We start from the raw sequence: 14,860 nt of genomic DNA, 5'->3' as shown, positions 1-14,860 counted from the left end.
GCTTCCTTTTTTTCCCAACTCCCTCGGATACCCTTATGGTCCTCCATAGCAGGCATGTATTATGTATTATGTTGATTGCAGTTCCTTGCTATTCCCTAATAAGCTTGAGAATTAATCCCTGTTGCTCAATTTAGGTTGACACCATTCTCACCCTGTTTACAGAAATACTTCCCAATAATAGTTTCAACAGGTACCTTTATTGAATATAATTTCCTCCCCCTAACCTGTTCCTATTTCCACCCTCTCATCTATGAGGCACTGGTGACTTGAACACTGCTTGTGCCCTGTGATGTCCAGCTCTATATTTGGCACATACATACATAGCAAGAGCAGTATAAATGTGGATTAACTGACATGTGAGGGTTTCCTCACATCTCAGTGAAGATAGTATACAAATAGAAAAAAAAAAGTGAAAGATAGTATACAAATAGAAAATTTAGCAACAATTCTGGTGATTTTATAAGAAGTTTTGCAAATTTGACAAAATTTACTTTTTCAAATGAAGCTTTGCTTTCTTTTTTTGCAAGATAGTATAACTAGTTTTATTCTTTTTTCTGGGCAATTGACTTCTTAAAAGAAGATATACCTCCCCCTCCTGGATGATAACGGTATTTTAAAGACAGCCCTTCCAACTCTATGGTGCATTCTGAAATGTGTCATTAATAAAACTAAGTCGTACATAGCAACAACATCCAGACTGTTAATTATTCAAAGCTCCTCATGTAGATCTAAAACAACAGCACGTTCTAAGGAATTGATCCTTCTTAAGCAGAAGTACATTTTCAGTACTTCAAAAGGAGATATTCAGTAACACCATATGATATTCAGTACTCAATTACAAAAGACTTTCTTCATTAGCTCAATAAATCAAACCACTGTGATAATGAGGCCAGAGTCCTGGATTTGGTTCTAGTTTGGGAAGCTGCTTTGATTGGTTTCATAGCCTCAAGTTTCACACTAACTCCCGGGAGTCATCATAAAATGATTCGTCCTGAGTCACAGGATATCCAGAGTGCCAGAGAGCAAACAGTTCAGTTCTAACTTTCTCCAACTGGAAATCATCCCCCAAAATGCTGGGGCATTAAAAGTGGCTTTGTATTTCTAAAAATTCTTTCACATAATGGCAACCGCCTTCTTTCCTCAGAACCACAAGGCAACTAACAAAGCCCTTTTTTTTGAGACGGAGTCTCGCTGTGTCACCCAGGCTGGAGTGCAGTGGCGCGATCTTGGCTCACTGCAAGCTCCGCCTCCCGGGTTCCCGCCATTCTCCTGCCTCAGCCTCCCAAGTAGCTGGGACTAGAGGCCCCCGCCACCATGCCCAGCTAATTTTTTTTTTTTTTTTTTTGTATTTTTAGTAGAGACGGGGTTTCATCGTGGTAGCCAGGATGGTCTCGATCTCCTGACCTCATGATCCGCCCGCCTCAGCCTCCCAAAGTGCTGGGATTACAGGCGTGAGCCACCGCACCTGGCCAATAAAGCCCTTTTTTAAAAAAAAATTTTACTTTAAGCTCCAGGATCCATGTGCAGAACATGCAGGTTTGTCACATAGGTATACCTGTGCCATGGTGGTTTGCTGCACCTATTGACACGACCTCTAAGTTCCCTCTCCTTTTCCCCTACCCCACAACAGGCCCTGGTGTGTGTTGTTCCCCTCCGTGTCCATGTGTTCTCATTGTTCAACTCCCACCTATGAGCGAGAACATGCAGTGTTTGGTTTTCTGTTCCTGTGTTAGTTTGCTGAGGATGATGCCTTCGAGCTTCATCCATGTCCCCACAAAGGACATGAACTCATTCTTTTTTATGGCTGCATAGTATTCCATGGTATATACATACCACGTTTTCTTTATCCAGTCTATTATTGATGGGCATTTGGGTTGGTTCCATGACTTTGCCATTGTAAACAGTGCTGCAATAAACATATGTGTGCATGTGTCTATTAAAGGCCTTTTAAAGGTTCATCAAGTTATTTACTTTTTGTGACTATGTAAGTCAAACAGTTTTACTAAGTGTGTGTGTGTGTGTGTGTGTGTGTGTGTGTGAGATTCTATCTTAAAATCTGACATTCTACTGAATACAAAAAATTAAGATAATCCATATGAAAAATAGTTTTCAAATTACCTTTTTATTTGGTCTTTTATATCTGGAGCCATGGCAGTCTGTATAAAATCAGGAGCATAGCCCAGGTCCTAAAATATAAAAAGAAATGTATTATTCACTATAAAATATATTTGGCTATCAAAGGCAATAATGCAGACTAGTCAACCTTTTAATGTTTCCAAGGCCATAATGAACATTAAGAAATTGTAATATTTATGTTGTTTGATATGAACTAATCCTATGTGAATTTGAAATATAATCAATTGATGGAAAGATCTGGTATTATGTTCAAGATGCACTAAACTTTCATTACCACCAAAGTGAAAAAATTGGGCTTTAAAGGAACTAAACAAAGTAACCACTTCTCTTTTGTGATCTATTAGCAGCTTTTTTGTTCACTTGTTTCTGAGGCAGGGTCTCGCTGTGTCACCCAGGAGGGAGTGCAGTGGCACAAGCACAGCTCATTGCAGCCCCAACCTCCCAGGCTCAAGCGATCCTCCCACCTCATTTTTTAAAAAATTGTTTTGTAGAGACAGGGTCTCACTATGTTGCCCAGACTGCTCTTGAACTCCTGGGTTCAAGTGATCCTCCCACCTCAGCTTCCAAAAGTGCTGAGATTACAGGCATGAGCCACTGCACCCAACTAGCCGCAGTTTTAACTCCAAAGTTTCACTAAAACCTAAAGTTACCAACATTTTACATGCCCTGAACATTCATTACCAAAAGTCTACACTATTCCTTAGAGAAACCAGTGATTTAATATTTAGTTAATAGATTATAGAAACAGATACAGAAAACCAAAAGGGTAGATTGGAGTAAGAGTTACTGTAGGTGATGTAGCTATTCAAAAGTACCTCCTTTGTGAACAAACTGCCCTTTAAAGCACAGACTAGATAATTAATCTAGGTATGTTATGATGAGGACTTTTTAAATTAATTTCACCAAATCAAAGCAGCTTCTTACATAAACTAAAAATCACAAAGTTGATGCTATAGCTATAATAATACTTACATATTCTCTAACAAGCTAAATAATTTGAATGGTTCTCTTGTCTAAATGGAATTTCTGCTGGGATATTCCATGCCTCAGGCCAATCTCTAGGCCTTAAATATTAAAATAAGAAAATTTAATCCATCTGTAGCAACTGAAATATTTCAAAATTAAGACTAAGACATTTATCAGGTACAATATATGACAGCATAAGCAGTTCTCCATGGTAATAAGGTTTTCCATAAATAAAATTTTAATGGCTATGTAAGATTTTATTGCCTGACTCTCTCCTCATTTATTTAACCATTTCCTTATTGTTAAGCATTTAGGTCTTTCCTTTTGTGTGTGTGTGTTATAAATAAGGCTACCGTATCCATCTCTGTGAACAAAAGTTCTATAATTAGCTATATTTCCTTAAGATATTCTGACATAAAGATGGTAAATAACCAAACTACTTACCTTTTTTCTAACAACAATAGCACCTAACATTTTTAAAGTTTTACAATAAATCACTTACATAAACACCTCATTGTATAATTAGCCTTTAAGTTATTGTCTTCAAGGTCTAGCCTTAGAGGTAAGGCTAGGGGGCTATTAAGGTGACTACAATAGTTAACTTATAGGCGATTTTACTTTTGTAGCAGTTAGCAGGAACATAGTTTATCTCTGAGAGATAATAAAAAATCAAATAGGCTGGCCAAGGCAGGCAGATTTCTTGAGCCCAGGAGTTAGAAACCAGCCTGGGGAAATATAGGAAGAATCTGTCTCTATAAAAAAAAAAAAAAAAAAAAAAAAAAAAAAAAATATATATATATATATATATATATATATATATATATATATATATATATATATATATATATGCCAGGTGTGGTAGTGCACTTGTAGTCCCAGCTACTCAGGTGGCTGAGGTGGGAGGATCACCTGGGAGGCAGAGGCTGCAGTGAGCTGAGATAGCACCAGTGCACTCCAGCTTGAGTGACAGAGCAAGATTCTGTCTCAAAAAAAGAAAAGAAAAGAATCTAGCTTCTTTCCATACAGTAGCTGTCTTAGCCGTTTTCACACTGCTGTAAAGATGCTATGTGAGATTGGGTAATTTATAACCAAAGGAGGTTTAACTGACTCCCAGTTCCACATGGCTGGAGAGGCCTCAAGAAACTTACAATCATGGTGGAAGGCAAAGAGGAAGCAAGACATGTCTTACATGGTGGGAGGAGAGAGACAGAAGGAGAGAAGGGGGAAACACCAGACACCTATCAAACAACCAGATCTCGTGAGAACTCCCTCACTATCAAGAGAACAGTATGGGAGAAATCACCCAGGTGATCCAATCACCTCCCACCAGGTCCCTTCCTGGACACACGTGGGGATTATAATTCAAGATGCCATTTGGTTGGGGACACAAAGCCAAACCACATCAGAAGCTGAGGAACTGGAAGAAAAACACAAAGTATATTTTACTTTTTAAAATTTAAATTTAACAATGAATTAATCAAAGTTGAAAAAATGTATGAGTAAAATATTATTTTACAGTACATTATCCAAATATAGAAGTTGTAGATATATTTTTATTCATTTGGGGTATTTCCTGCCAACCCTCTCTATCTCAATGAGTTGTCACTGTACTTTACATTTCAACCATTGGCATATTAGAGTGGTAATCCATATACTTAATTATGCTGACTAAAAGTAAATTATTATATGGTAACAGACAAGTAAGGAAAATATAGCAGTGGTAGCAGATTTCCCAATTCCCAGTGATCTCCAGGAATTATTTCCTTCCAATGGCAAAGGTCTCATTTTAAAACAAATTATATATTTCCTTTATCCAATGTACAATTGTCTTTGCTATTCCAAGCTCATAATTAAGGCAAAAATTGATCCTGCTTATTGACAAATGATGTAAACATGAGGGGTCAGTAGCATCCTCAAAGGAAAGATTTGCTGTTACCAAGCCCCTAGTTTTCCATAATCCTAAAATAACTGGTTTTCTTCAAGTTACTTCCTTATTTAAAAATGTTATGCAAAGGCAGTGCCAAGAGTACAAAAAAAGAGCTATAAAAGCCTAAAGAAAAAGTACCATCACAAGACAGCGTTTTCTTCTAAAACAGTATTTTTAAAGGTAGGAGCTTTGTCTTGATGTGTGTGTGTCCCTAGTCTCTTTGACTGTACCTGATGAGCACTTAGCAAATGTTGGCTGAATAATGGCTGAATGAATAGGAAAGCACATTTTAAAACAGCTCTTCACCTTAAAGTTTCTTCATTTCATATCTCTCACTTTTTGTAAGCTCTCATGGCATACTCCAGGATTCCTTGTCTCTAATTTCTTATTAACTACCATAGAATCTTTTATTTTGAAATTCAGTTGGAATTCCTAAAACCTACCATAAAGATTTTAGGTAAAGATCTACCAAAGATGGAAATATTTCCCACTAGGTCAGAGGCGTTGGCATAGCAGTCTTATGGAAATACATAAAATAAATGCAGCATTAAAAGTATTTTTTAATTATTGAAATATACATTTACACATTTTTTTCTGTATAATGTAACTGCAATACCCTATAAGCTGGATGGCTTTTACAATCATAAAAGAGTAAACTCAGACATTATGTAATATGCGTATGGAAAACCATTAAGATATAAGAAGGGAAATACTGAAAGATAAATGGTCCCATAATTAATTATACATTATTTATCATGGATAATAATGATAACTTAAACGCAGCTCGCCTGTTTTTAGAGCACTTGAGCTCAGAAAAATCAACAGCAACTATTTCAAAATGAGATGCAATACCCTCCAGTGAAACTCTGACAATCTCCAATTAAGCAATTCTACAAACTGCACACAAAACAGTAACTTTTCATCAAAGGTTTCAGCGAAGGAAGAAAAATCTCACTTTGGGATTTGACATTGAGATGTTTAGTAACAGGGATACAAATGCAAAATTCAAACAGGGCACAACAAGCAGTTGTGTTAATGATCGTGGGAATATTGTGGAAAGGAAGAAAAGAAAGACAAGAACAAATGGATGCCACAAAAATCAGACAAAGCTGGCTTTGTGAATGATGGATAATTCAAATGACTGCTATAGGTTCCAGAGACAATGTAAAATCCGAGACGAAGATGTAAACTGCACTGCAAATTAGTGTCATGTATTTTTAAATGTTTCCATGTTCAGATTCTTAAATCATATCTGCCAGTGTCTCAATAGTCCAGAAGCAAATGGAGTGGTCCATGAAATTTGCTTTCTTCAGGAAAGGCATTTGAATAAATTGAAGACACAGTGGAAAACTCAAAAAGCAGTCAAATGGGCTGTCAGTCTTCCTTCCTTCCCTTCAGTGTACAAGAATCGGCAAGCAGTCCAAAGCCAAGCCATTAAGGTTCAAGGATACAGCAGCAGCAGAGGTCTAGCTAGACAACCCTCTCCCAAGGGCTGCACTATGCCCTCCCTAAAGGAAGTCATTCTCTACAAGGGATGGAGCCCTGGGGAGCTCAGCTGGACTCTGTCTCACTCCAACTGTGGAGTTGAAGGTTACTAAAGAATTCAATGAACGAATGTGCTTATGTGCTGTGTTCATCAGAGTTTTAAAAAAGTAAATACAGATGAGAAGATAACAGAAGTAATCATCTTAAAGTATTTCTCTATGGTTTATATTTATACCAGCCACGGATTTTCAAAAGGTAAAAAATGTGTTAATTTTGGTATAAATCTGGAAATAAAAATACACCAAGAACAGTATCCTGGGTTCAGGAAATAGGTCGTATTCTGGTTTGTACTCCCAAGATCTAGCACAGTGCTCAAGAAATATTTATTGCCAAGTAAATGTGAGGCCAAAACAATGTCTACGTATTTCACATTATGTAGTTGTATCAGAATTCCTGATGAATAAATGTGAGGCAATGAATATTCCTAGAGAATAAAACCATGTACAGTTGATCAATACTGTGCCAGGCAAGGATGAATAAATCCTGGTCCCTGTTCTGAGAGTGCTTACAAGGCTATTTTACTTGATAGGGAAATGAAGGCATTTACTGGCCACAGCCAACTTCTTCATTGAAGAATTTCTTTTAACTTGAAGTGCACTGTCTCACGGTGAAGCAAGCTGTTCTGCTGTCCAGATCTAGAACAACTCTACCCTGGTTGAGCCCTCATATGTGGGGATCATCTTCTGGTGACCTTGCAGCATTTTCTCCTTAACCTCCACATCTGGAAGAAGCACAACCTTATTTGGGGAGATGGGGCTGCTGGGGAGGCAGCAGGTGAGAAGGGTTTGGGGGGCAGGTGGACACAGATAGTTCAGCAATGTATCTGAGTTCTTTAAGTCCTGTTCTGAGCCCGTGTGGTCATTGGGGAAGGGACTGCAAACCAGGGAAAGGGTACATCACAACCAAGACAAGATGACTTGGGTTCTGAAGCTGTCCGCATTTACCTAAGAGTCCTGTAGTCTGTGATTCTTAAACTTCAACAAACAAGAATACAGAACTGAACCTGGATTTCAGGGACCCTCAACTCACAACTCTTTGTGTCCTAAGGCTTCAAATCTAACTCATAGTCTAAAGAATATGGCCTATACCTTGAAGTTTTTGTGGAAAAACTCAAGATGAAAAGGGGAATCAGCATAGCATCTGTCTGCCTTCCTGCTGTCTTCAAACTGTGGCAGTTAAAAGCTCTTACAGACCTATATACTAGCTGACCTCCTTCCTGTCCTCAAAGAGCCTGAATTGTATACCCCTTGTAAAGCTAGGCTAGACTATAGCAAGAGACTATGAGTACCCTGAAAATAAGGACATACTATATTTCCCTTTGAATCCTCAAAACCTAGCAATGTGTGCTGAACTAAAATAAACCAGTCAGTACTCATCTAGCAGGACCATGCTGAGGAAGTGCTGACTGGCAGCTTGTCACCAGCTAATTACTTGGGTTTCATGTGAGTATGTTAAGTGGCTGAATTTGTGCACATGTTTTTTTGACAGATTGAGATAATAAGATAAGATACAATAAGATAATGTATTGCCTTCTCAGGCACAGCAGAACTACAGGTTATTGGGAAAATTATGCAGAAATAATAGGAAGTCAGACATTCAATTCCATTAGAATGTGTAAATATAGGTATAGATCCCAGCCATTATTCATTTTCTAATTTTCAGTATGCTACAAGCACTGAAACCATTCACCCTGAAATGCTTTGCACAGTACAATTCACACAACTGTCCCCAGTAATATTAGCTCTATATGTATAAATGTGGCTTTAGAGCTTACAAAATAGATTCACACATATATTCTCAAAACTGCTCATTTTCTAGCCTCCTCATAGCTGAGTCCTTTATGAGCATTTTTGTTACACCTTATGCCTAAAATAAACCTTCAAGATATTATATTATACCCATCACACAAGTGTGGAAAATGGACCTTCTGAGAAGTTCACATTACCAGTGAGTGTGCAACCATGATTGGAAACCAGGTTTCACTAATTGTAAAGCCAAGGTTTTTTCCAGTATACAAACTGGCCTCACAATGTGATCTTCACTTTAGCCCTATGGTATAAATATCATGAATATAATTTATTCAGTAAAGATACATTGGTAATCTTGCATACCAATCTCTGTTCTAGGCACTGGAGACAATGCAGTGATCAAAATGGACACAATCTCTGCCCTCTTTGGAGTTCACTTTCTGGAGTATAGGTAGGAAAAGAAACAACAAAATATTTGTCAGCTGTCAAGTACTGTGGAGAAAACTAAAGCCAGGTAAGGGGTTAGGAAGTACCAAGAAGGCTGGGCACAGTGTCTCCCACACCTGTAATTCCAATAGTTTCAGAGGCCAAGTGAGAGGATCACTTGAGCCCAGGAGGTTGAGACCAGCCTGAGCAACAGAGCAAGACAAAATCTCTACCCAGAAAAAAAAGGAAAGAAAAGAAAAAAAATCTTAACATTAGCCAAATGTGGTGGCACACACCTGTAGTCCCAGCTACTTGGGAGACTGAGGCAGGAGGATTGCTTTAGACAGGAGTTTGAGGCTGCCTTGAACTATGTTCATGCTATTGCACTCCAGCCTGGGTGACAAAGCAAGACCCTGTCTCAGTTAAAAGAATAATACCAAGAGGAATCCCATAGAATTGTGGCTACTGGATGTAGAGTGGTCAGGGGACAGCGTCTTTGATATGATAATATTTGAATGAGTAGAGACCTGAAGGAAGTGAAGTGCTTGCCATGCACTGTCTGGGGAAAGAGTGTTCCACACCGAGGGGCAAGTATGTGCAAAGTTCCCAAGACAGGGATGTGCTTGGCATATTGTAGTCATAACTGGGAAACCAACGTGCCTGCAGTGTTGGTGAGCAAAAGGGAGAGTAGAAATAGATAAGACCAGAAAAGAAGAGGAAACTAAATCAGTTTTGTAGATCTCTAAATGAGATAAACCATTGGGAAGTTTTCATCCAATGAGGGATATGATTCTCCTGCATAGGTACTCTTGCAGCTGTGTGCAGAAAAAAAACTTTGGGAGTGCAAGAGAGCAACTAGGATGACTAGATCAGAGGCTATTGATATAGATCAACTAGAGAGATGCAGGTGTGGACTAGGCTGATGGTAGACATCAAGTTTGACTGCAAAGATTTTGGCTCGAGCATGGAAAGATAGGGATTCCATTTAATGAGGTGAACAAGACTTGGGAAGAATCAGATTTGGGGTAAAGATCAGGAGTTCTGTTTTGAACATGTTACTTTTGAGATGCCTATGAAGATGTCAAGAAGGCAGCTGGATACCTGAGTATGGATTTTAGAGGAGGACAAGTCCATGTTGGAGGCATAAGTGTGGGATTCTTCCAAGATGGTGATGTTAAATGTCATAGATGGAGAGCACTTAGAGAGGATGGAGTCAGAGAAGAGGCCTAGTACACATCAAACTTTAGCTTTTAGGGTTGAGGAGGAACCAGTCAAGGAGACTGAGAAGTAGTGGGCAAGGAGGAAGGAGGAAGACCTCATGAGACTTCAAGTAGAAAGTATTTCAAGGAGACAATGATCACTTTGGTTAAATGCCACTGGTAATCAAGGAAGAAGACAGCCAAGAATTGAAGACTGAATTTAGCAGTCATATAACAATGGATGGGGGTTATTGGTCCCAGATTCCCTGAAATGAGAAAACCAAGGTTCTGAGAAGTTAAATAAATTGAACAACCAAAATCACATAGCCACTTAGCCCCAGAAATGGGTCCAGAACTAAACACTGGACACAAGCCATCTGAATCTTGTTTCCTGAATCTCAGACCAGGACTTTTCTTCAATAACATGAGGTCATCCTTCTCATGGTAACCGTGATTCATTAGGGGGACTGGAAAAGAATATTAAGACTTTAAACAAAAGGAATAAACTTCAGTAGTAGAATGTCAATGACAGACAATGCTCAAAGGCCCTCAAATCAAATGAAACAGGCAGCCACAGCAACAAGGGAACACCCAAGTATCAAAACACACTTCAACATACAAAAAAGTTTACGGCCCCTCAAAAGAAATGATCTATTCGTTCTATTTTGCTAGATGATTTCTACATACATAAATACCCGAGGCCTGATTACCTTCACTTGGTTTCTTTACCAAATGCCAGAAATGGGGTAGGAGAGGATTTTAGTAAATCAAACTAATGTTTAGGCAGAACAAAGGCACAGGAAAGCCCTAAACCATTTAAGTATTAAAAACTACTTTTAATCGTCCCTACTGCTGCCCTCTAATCCACAACCACCACCAACCTAAGAGGGCTATGATTCCAAGAGCCGACTCTGTTGCAAACCTCCGCTGGACGGTTTTGCGGACTAGGAAGTGAAGATTTCCAGTGGGAGGAAGAGCGAAGAAGAGAAGGAGGTAGATAAGCTAGCGAAAAGAAGGAGGTAGACAAGCTAGCAAAGCGAAGGTGCAGAATAGGAAAGTTACCAGGACAGGGCAGGGAGTTCCTCATGTCCACAGCAGGCCTTGCTCCCCTGGCCGGAGCCCAGGGGAGGGAGACGGAGGAAGGCAGCCACTTTTCCAGTGAGAAGTTGAGCAAGGAGTTGGCACCCGGCCCTCTCTACCTCTAGAGAAAAGGTAAAAGCTAAGCTGGATCGCGTGGTAGAGAAGAGCCCACTTTCAGAGTCCAAGTGGCATTATCTTGGAGTTCAGTGTCTGCCTCCAGGGCTGCAACTAACTCCTCGCGCCTCCCTTGCCGCCTTTCCTCCCTGGAAAGAGGAGGTGAAAAAGGTCCCAGGGCTCGGGTGGGCATGACTGCCTGGCGCAGGCCGCCGGGGGATTACCTGATACCTCCGCGTCTCCCCAGAAGGCGCGGCGCCGCCCTCCAGCCCCACCCGGTCACTCCGCGGTCCCCAGGCTCTGGTGTCTGTCCAATCTCCGGGACTCGACGCCCGAGGCGGCCGCCCGCGAGACCCGGAGCACGAGCCTCACGCTCAACGTTAGGCACTGCTCAAGGCCGCCCGAGGAGCAGAGACACCTACTGGCCGAGCGCTCCTGCGGCGGCTGGGCTGGGCTGGGGGCCGGAGCCCAGAAAACAGGGCTCCGCACACCCCCTACCGGGCGGGCTCCATCTGCGCCCCAGCCGAGTCCCGGACCCGCGTCTTGGCAGGCTCACCTACCTTGAGGTTCCCAGCTCCTGTCATCCTGTGCGCAAGTGATTTCAGCAACCATCACCACAAAACCTAGTCGGAGGGTGGCTGGCTCACAGCCTCTCCACTTTTTCGGAGTTTGTGCCAAATAATTTAAAGACCCTCCCCACCCTTTTCCAAATTCTGGCGTTTGAGAAGGGAAAATCCAAAGGGATGAGGATATAGGAGCCCCTAAGTGCTCTCCCCAGAAGCCAGGGAATTGTATTTCTGTTTCTCCAGGGCCCTGAAGAACCTGGCTTTCTTGTAATTACAAATACCTTTCACTGAAAAGTGGCTTCTTTCCTCCTGCTCCCTGCCCTGTGACAGTCAGTCCCTCCCTGTTCTGTCCTGGTAACTTTCCTGCTCTGAGCCTTGTTCCTGTGCTAGCTTATCTATCTCTTTTTCTTCTCTTATCCCGCTCTTCCGCCTTTTGGAAATCTTCACTTGCTACTCTGCAAAACCATCGGAGCAAGGCCTGCTGCGGACATCAGGACCACTGCAAATATTTTTTTCCAGGTTCTGAGAGGGATGCAGAAGACGCAGGAGCTGACAGTCTAGTTAATTTTTAGCTGACAAAGTCTCTCTCTCTCTCTCTCTCTCTCTCTCTGTCTCCCTCTCTGTCTCTTTCTCTCTCTTTAACACCTATATTTGAGTAGTTTTGTTTCCATCAGCACTCTTGTCTTTCCTTCTAGTCCTTTAATCCTGACTCTCTTCCTGGATTGAACTTAGGGAGGCAAGAGTTTAAATTAGAAGCAGTAAAATTGTATAATAAAAGGAAGAAGACAAACCAGGCCTTGCTTCTTAACAGGATGACTAATACAGTTTATGGATTATCTGGGTAGTTACATGACTAATATTAACCATTAACAATTATTGAGTTCTTAATGCTGACCAGAAACTGTTTTAAGAGCTTTTTTATAATAATAGTAAAATCAGCTCTTATGTAATGTTTTAAATGTTTACATTTATTAACACATTAGACAAAACAACCCTATAAGATGGGTAATAATATTATTCCCTTTTTACAATTGAGGAAATTGAGACAAAGAAGCAGGAACATTTCCTAAGGTCACACAGCTAGAAGTAAGTTATAAAGCTGGAATTTAAGCCCCGACAGCCTGGTGGATCATTCAGGGTACTCTAGAGGGACAGGACTAATAGGATAGATGTATATATGATGTATATATGAAAGGGAGTTTATTAAGGAGAATTGACTCTCATAATCACAAGGTGAGTCCCACAATAGGCCATCTGCAAGCTGAGGAGCAAGGAAGTCAGTCTGATAAAAGGAAACAGGCACAGAGAGGCTAACTAATAGTCCAGGAACACAGAGCTACTAACTTGTACAGGCAAGATTAGAACAAGTGAGTCTGATCCTTAACTAACCATGGGAGGGAGATACTTTTTTCCTACATTCAGCCATACAGAGGGAGAAGGGATTGCCTAAAAAGGGTGTGATGCTTTCATAACCTTCAATTAGTGAGCCCAGCTGGGCTTGGTGGCTTTTGCCTATAATCTCAGCATTTGGGGAGTCCAAGGATTGCTTGAGGCCAGGAATTTGAAACCAATCTAGGCAACTAACAGGACAACATTGTGAGACCCTATCTCTACAAAACTAAAAAATTTAAAAAATTAGCTGGGCGTGGTGATGCATGCCTGTAGTCCCAGCTACATGGGAGGCTGAGGTGGGAGGATTGCTTGAGAACAGGAGTTTTAAGCTGCAGTGAGCTTTAATTGTGCCACAGCACAGCAGCCTGGGCGGCAGAGGGAGAGCTCATCTCTTAAACAATAACAAAAACAAAAACAGCCCCTTGTGTGATGGTTAAACAAATCCAGCCCCTTGATTAGATTGAAGGATGCAAAGCATTGATCCTGGGTGTGTCTGCGAGGGTGTTGCCAAAGGAGATTAACATTTGAGTCAGTGGACTGGGCAAGGCAGACCCACCCTCAATGTAGGTGGGCACCATCCAATCAGCTGCCAGCGCAGCTAGGATGAAAGCAGGCAGAGGAATGTGGAAGGAATAGAATGGCTGAGTCTTCTGGCCTTCATATTTCTCCCGTATTGGATGCTTCCTGCCCTAGAGCATCGGACTCCAAGTTCTTCAGCTTTTGGACTCTTGGACTTACACCAGTGGTTTGCCGGGGCTCTCAGGCCTTAGGCCACAGACTGAAGGCTGCACTTTCGGCTTCCCTACTTTTGAGGCTTTGGGACTCAGACTGACTTCCTTGCTCCTCAGCTTGCAGATGGCCTATTGTGGGACTTCACCTTGTGATTATGAGAGTCAGTTCTCCTTAATAAACTCCCTTTCATATATACATCATATATACATCTATCCTATTAGTCCTGTCCCTCTAGAGTACCCTGAATGATCCACCTGGGTTTCAGGCTGAGTCCCTGAGAGTCAAGGCCTGACGTTGAGCTGAACTGTCTGTTTAAGCAGCTCCTCCCTTCCTGCACTCTACTAGCAATGCCAAGAGCATAAAGAGCCCTTCGCCAAACTCAGGGCCAGACTAAGGTCCCGCTGTATTACCTACAGCTGAAACAACTGTTCCCTTAGGAGGCCAAGGCATAAAAAAAAAGCCTCCACAGTGGGGCACATGGTGTGGCACATGGTGTGGCACATGGTGCGCTCTCATCCCTTCTGTGACCAGTTCTCCTGGACGCTTTGGGAAGGGACGACTAGAGGCACCAGTATCGCCAAGTAATCTTTGCCCTTTTAGAGGAAATAATGTTGCTTTCTGCAGGGGAACAACAGTAATTGAAGAAGAGGCACAGAGGGAAACTTAGGGCCATGACCATATGAAAAACCAGAGTTACCAGAGTTTATGACATTCATTTCTTTCTCCCTGCTGAGGTGAGGCCTTTCTCACCTGATAGAATGAGTTTTTCAAGGGATTTTGAGGCTGATCAAGGAAAAAAACATAATAATGAAGTGGGAGTAGCACACAATGAGCTCTATTTTGGAAGCACTTTAACAGGTTTGCGTGGTGAGGGGGAGTCCCACACAGCGTGGACCCATCCAGAGCTCTGGCAGCATGGAGGCCACCACCCAGAAGGGGAGGAGGATAAAGGAAGCCCTGAAGAAGAGGAATCAGAGAGGGGACTTCTGTATTTAGGTAACGTCCCTCAACACACTGCAAAATCTCAGG

At 41.4% G+C, this 14,860-nt stretch overlaps 1 long non-coding RNA gene across 10 annotated transcripts in view, besides 1 other annotated feature; it reads right to left on the bottom strand.

Annotated features, from left to right (window-relative positions):
* Positions 1–12,131, bottom strand: part of LOC124900169 (uncharacterized) — a 109,752-nt gene extending 97,621 nt beyond the window's left edge. For 9 of the 10 annotated variants that reach the window (XR_007058337.1, XR_007058343.1, XR_007058339.1 and 6 more), the window contains exons 1-2: positions 11,366–11,553; positions 2,119–2,186 (exon numbers count right to left, since the gene is read on the bottom strand). This is a non-coding gene — a long non-coding RNA (uncharacterized LOC124900169). Of the gene's footprint in view, positions 1–2,118; positions 2,187–11,365; positions 11,554–11,701 lie in introns of those variants that run through there. The other variant, XR_007058346.1, reaches the window with a different exon arrangement.
* Positions 11,597–11,726: a silencer, noted in NCBI's record as "silent region_15768". NCBI's record gives its function as "represses an Ori minimal core promoter by ATAC-STARR-seq in GM12878 lymphoblastoid cells {active_cell/tissue: GM12878}" and the evidence as "EXISTENCE:reporter gene assay evidence [ECO:0000049][PMID:35858748]".
* Positions 12,132–14,860: the final 2,729 nt, after the last annotated feature.

The sequence above is a fragment of the Homo sapiens genome, chromosome 4 (genome assembly GCF_000001405.40).
Source record: "Homo sapiens chromosome 4, GRCh38.p14 Primary Assembly".
NCBI lineage: Eukaryota > Metazoa > Chordata > Mammalia > Primates > Hominidae > Homo > Homo sapiens.
This window is presented reverse-complemented; position numbering and strand designations above follow the sequence as displayed.